At 52.4% G+C, this 5206-nt stretch overlaps 1 annotated feature.

Moving 5' to 3' along the window:
* Positions 1069–1568: an enhancer, noted in NCBI's record as "H3K4me1 hESC enhancer chrX:941763-942262 (GRCh37/hg19 assembly coordinates)". NCBI's record gives its function as "activates a minimal SCP1, AML or CMV promoter by ChIP-STARR-seq in naive H9 embryonic stem cells {active_cell/tissue: H9 hESC(naive)}" and the evidence as "EXISTENCE:reporter gene assay evidence [ECO:0000049][PMID:30033119]".

The raw sequence follows: 5206 nt of genomic DNA on the forward strand, positions 1-5206 counted from the left end.
CACCTTGGCCCTGTCGATTTTCACGTCCCGACCACACTGGGTGTGGATGGAAATAGCTGGGTGGGTTTGTGTGAATTAAAACATTTATAGAGCCCTATGCTCCTGTTACCTCTTAGGCGACTTATTAAAGTACAGTTAGTGTAAACACGGGGGTCGTAAACCTGCAGGGCTCAAGCACCAATTAAAATAATAAAAAACAAGAGGCCACCGCACACTGAGGGGTCTTTGGCACGGGCTGCAAGGGGGAGGAGGAGGGAGGCCAAGCCAGGCTCCCTGGGAGGGGAGCCCGGAGGATTCCAGCTCCACCAAGAAACACAGAGGTCAGAGTGAAAGAAACAGTGCAATAGGGATTCTGGAAAGAAAAAGGCACCTTGACAGCAGAGATTTCAAACCAGGAGATGCATCCCCAGATATGGGACAGTTGAAGATTAAACAGCTGTTGGGGGGTTAATTCTGGGTTCCATAAAGACGTAGAGATTTCATGCTGTAGACCCAGGTACAATGGGGACGTCACCAAACTGCTCAGCAGCTGGTTTTGGGATGCAAGAAGGGCTATGCCTTCCCCCTGGGGCTGGGATGGAGGAAGAGTCGTGTCTACACCTGAACTCTCTGGGATTGAGATGGAGGAGGTGGTGTCCACACCCTCACCCACTGGGGCTGCCATGGAGGAGGAGGAGGGAGGTGTCCACACTCTCCACCCTGGGGTTGGGATGATGGAGGAGGAAGAGGAGGGGTGGTGTCCACACCCTCAACCACTGGGGCTGCCATGGAGGAGGAGGAGGGGCGGTGTCCATGGAGGAGGAGGAGGGGCGGTGTCCACACTCTCTCTCCTGGGGCTGGGATGATGGAGGAGGAGGAGGGGCCGTGTCCACACTCTCCTCCCTGAGGCTGGGATGATGGAGGAAGAGGGGTGGTGTCCACACCCTCACCCCTGGGGCTGGGATGGAGGAGGAGGAGGAGGGGCCGTGCCACATTCTCAGCCCTGGGGCTGGGATGGAGGAGGAGGGGTGGTGTCCACACTCTCTCTCTTGGGGCTGGGATGATGGAGGAGGAGGAGGGGCCGTGTCCACACTCTCCCCCCTGGGGCTGGGATGATGGAGGAAGAGGACTGGTGTCCACACCCTCACCCCTGGGGCTAGGATGGAGGAGGACGAGGAGGAGGGGCCGTGCCACATTCTCAGCCCTGGGGCTGGGATGATGGAGGAGGAGGAGGGGCTGTGTCCACACTCTCCCCCCTGGGGCTGGGATGATGGAGGAGGAGGAGGGGCTGTGTCCACACTCTCCCCCCTGTGGCTGGGATGATGGAGGAAGAGGACTGGTGTCCACACCCTCACCCCTGGGGCTAGGATGGAGGAGGAGGAGGAGGGACCGTGTCCACACTCTCCCCACTGGGGCTGGGATGGAGGAGGAAGAGGGGTGGTGTCCACACTCTGCCCTCTGGGGCTGGGATGGAGGAGGAGGAGGAGGGGCTGTGTCCACATTCTCAGCCCTGGGGCTGGGATGGAGGAGGAATTGGCTCTCTCATGATGCCCTCATTCCTCCCTGTCCTCCTGAAAGCGCCTTTGCAAAAATTATAACTGAAGAAATTACGACAGCGAAAGAGACCTAACCACCCACCTCCCCCCGCCCCATCTTCTTTCTAACCTCGAAACTGTCTTTATTCATTCCTGGGCATAGTAGCCTCAGAAGGAATTTAGTTTATAGTTTAAACTCTGAAACAAAACTGACAATAGCCCTTTTCCGGGAGGGCAGGGACGGCAGGAACCTTCTTGCTTGGGGACCAGCCTGCCTTGGCAGGACTAATAAATTAGCTACAAGATTAGGAATTACGCCTGAAGGACCATGCAGCCTCTGGTTCCAAGAGTCTGAACCTCCCACATATAGCTCCTGGGGATAACATCATTGTTGCAGAACCCAAGATCGGTGTTTGAGATATTTTGCAGATCCCGGATTCCAATGCAGCCGATGACACCACACAGACCGGTAACGTGGCTCAACCAGATATCAGCCATCCCACACAGGAACAGAAGACAGCACGGACTCACTTCAAACCCCTGTGATTTCACCCTCAACCTGACCAACCAGCACTCTCTGCTTCCTGAGCCCCCACCCACCAAATCATCCTTAAAAACTCCAATCGCTGGCCAGGTGCAGTGACTCACGCCTGTCATCCCAGCACTTTGGGAGGCCGAGGGGCTTTCTGTTGTCATCCTTTTTGAGCAAAATCCTGGGAACTTCATACATTGTTTGTTCCAGTATCTTCTCAGTTAATGGAGCTCCTTTGAAATGCTGACGGTCTGCTTACACAGGTTAACTCCTTGAGGAAGGGGGTTGGGTAAGGAGCACTTAGTGTCTTGTAAATCAAGGGGCCAAATGGAGTGCGTCCGGCTTTCCCAGCTGAGAGAGAGTCTATTCTCATGGGAAACAAGGCTAGGTCATTAAAGAGACAAAAAGGGAACGTCTAAAAGTAGGGTTAGTAAAAAAAACAAGGTTAGGCATTACACGTTGCTGATTGATTGACGCATGTCGTCCTCGGAGGAGCCTCCGATGAAGTCTCCTGGGTTTGAGTTGCAGCCTGGGATGGCCCTGCTGGACCTCAAGTGACCTCACCAACGAAATCTGGTTGAGTGTGTCTGATGGGACGTATGTGTGGAGCAATCAGCAGCATCCCAACAGCCGTGTGTGTCATTGGAAAGACCAGCGTGGCCGTGTCTGCGGTCAAAGCAACATCTCTTTTATTTTTTTCTTTTGAGATGGAGTCTCGCCCTGTCTCCCAGGCTGCAGTGCAGTGGTGCAGTCTTGGCTCACTGCAACCTCCACCTCCCGGGTTCAAGCGATTCTTCTGCCTCAGCCTCCCGAGTAGCTGGGTGACCGAGTACAGGTGCCTGCCACCACACCTGGCTAATTTTTGTATTTTTAGTAGAGACGAGGTGTCACCATGTTGGCCAGGCTGGTCTGGAACTCCTGACCTCACATGATCCACTCACCTTGGCCTCCCAAAGTGCTGGGATGACAGGCGTGAGCCACCTCACCTGGCCTAAGGCAACATCTTAAAACCAATTTTCCACTGCCCACTTCCTGGGATGCTCTTTGAGAAGAACTTACTTCTTTCTCAAATTAATGAGCGTTTTGCCCCGATATTCACCCATGCGTTTCTGATACGTTTGCAATTAACCTGGAGGGACTTGTGTGAGCTTATTTATTTTTCCCTAATACGTAGACATGGGTTTTAACAGATTTGAGGATCCTACGGAATTCCAGCGCTCGGGGCCAGATCCTGAAGCCTCCAGATGTCGGGTGTCGTAACCACACAGCCCGCCTTGTTATTTCACTGCAGGTGGAGTTTTCCTCGTTTACCCTCTGTGGACAGCATTCTCTTCCCCTTGTCCTGATAGGAGGCAGCCAGATGCCTAGGCAGGAAGGGGCAGGTGCCTGGTGAAACCCCACCTTCGAGTCAAAAACAGGCTGAGAACCGAAAGACCAGCCTGCTGGTCCAGAATGAAACTCGCCACCCAGAGTGACAACATCTGTTCCTATTTGCCTGCCCTTTCCCAATTGATTCTTTCTGAATAATTTTTTAATTAAATTAAATTAAATTAATTATTTATTTATTTCTGAGACAGAGTCTCGCTGTGTCGCCCAGACTGGAGTGCAGTGGAGAGATCTCAGCTCACTGCAACCTCTGCCTCCCGGGTTCAAGCAAGTGTCCTCCCTCAGCCTCCTGAGTAGCTGGGATTACAGTTGCTGGCCACCACGCCTTGGTAATTTTGGTATTTTTAAATAGAGATGGGGTTTCTCCATGTTGGTCAGGCTGGTCTGTAACTCCTGACTTCAGGAGATCCACCCACCTCAGCCTCCCAAAGTGTTGGAATGACAGGTGTCAGCCACCACACCCAGCCTGAATAATGCTTTTTAATCAATCTGACCACCGGCCTCAGCCTCCCAAAGTGTTGGAATGACAGGCGTCAGCCACCACACCCGGCCTGAATAATGCTTTTTAACCAATCTGACCTCAGGCGATCCACCCGCCTCAGCCTGCCAAAGTATTGGAATGACAGGCGTCAGTCAGCCACCACACCCAGCCTGAATAATGCCTTTTAATCAATCAAATGTTCCCGTTTCCAATACTACCTATGGCCCGCCCCTCCCCACTTCCCTTCTCTGAGGAAAGCTGTCTCATCACGTAATAAAACTCCCTGGTTTGCTCACTCTTCAGTTCTCAGCATGTCCTCATTCTTCTTGGACGCTGGACAACAACTCGGGAACCAAGATTTCACCGTTGCAATACAACCTGGGCGACAAGAGCGACCAAGGCAGGCGGATCACGAGGTCAGGAGATCGAGACCGTCCTGGTTAACACAGTGAAATCTCAGCTCACTGTGACCTCTGCCTTCTGGGTTCAAGCAATTGTCCTGCCTCAGCCTCCCAAGTAGCTGGGATTACAGGTGTGCCTAAGCCTAGCTCTGGTGGAGCATCACCAGCTGGAGGTCCCCGGCTTGCAAAGTGACCAAGAACTAAATCCTCCATCATTTCTACCCTCCAAACCCCAGAAAAAGAGACTGCAACCACTCAACTGCACAGCCAATAGCTGTGAACAAGAAGTTCAGGAACCATGGCCAAAACATTCAGGAACCTTGGCCAAAAGTTCACAGAAGTGGAGTTTAACTAAGAAGTTGATTCTGGCAATGCTTTTCCCATTAACTGGTGCATGAAATGAATTTCTTGTTTCAATAGAAACACTGCATTTTTCATTAGAGAAAATAAGCCAGAGACAGAGGCGTATGCCTATAAACCCAACATTTTGAGAGGCTGAAGTGGGAGGATTTCTTGAATCCAGGAGTTCGAGACCAGCCTTGGCAACATAGGAAGACTCTGTATTTACAAAGAATACAAAAACTAGTCCGGGTGCGGTGGCTCACGCCTGTAATCCCAGCACTTTGGGAGGCCGAGGCGGGAGGATCACGAGGTCAGGAGATCAAGACCATCCTGGCTAACATGGTGAAACCCCGTCTCTACTAAAAATACAAAAAATTAGCCAGGTGCGGTGGCAGGCGCCTGTAGTCCCAGCTACTCAGGAGGCTGAGGCAGGAGAATGGCGTGAACCTGGGAGGTGCAGCTTGCAGTGAGCCAAGATCGCGCCACTGCACTCCTGCCTGGGCGACAGAGCGGGACTCTGTCTCCAAAAACAAAAAAAAAAAAAAAAAAA

Source organism: Homo sapiens, chromosome X (assembly GCF_000001405.40).
Source record: "Homo sapiens chromosome X, GRCh38.p14 Primary Assembly".
In the NCBI taxonomy this organism is placed as follows: domain Eukaryota; kingdom Metazoa; phylum Chordata; class Mammalia; order Primates; family Hominidae; genus Homo; species Homo sapiens.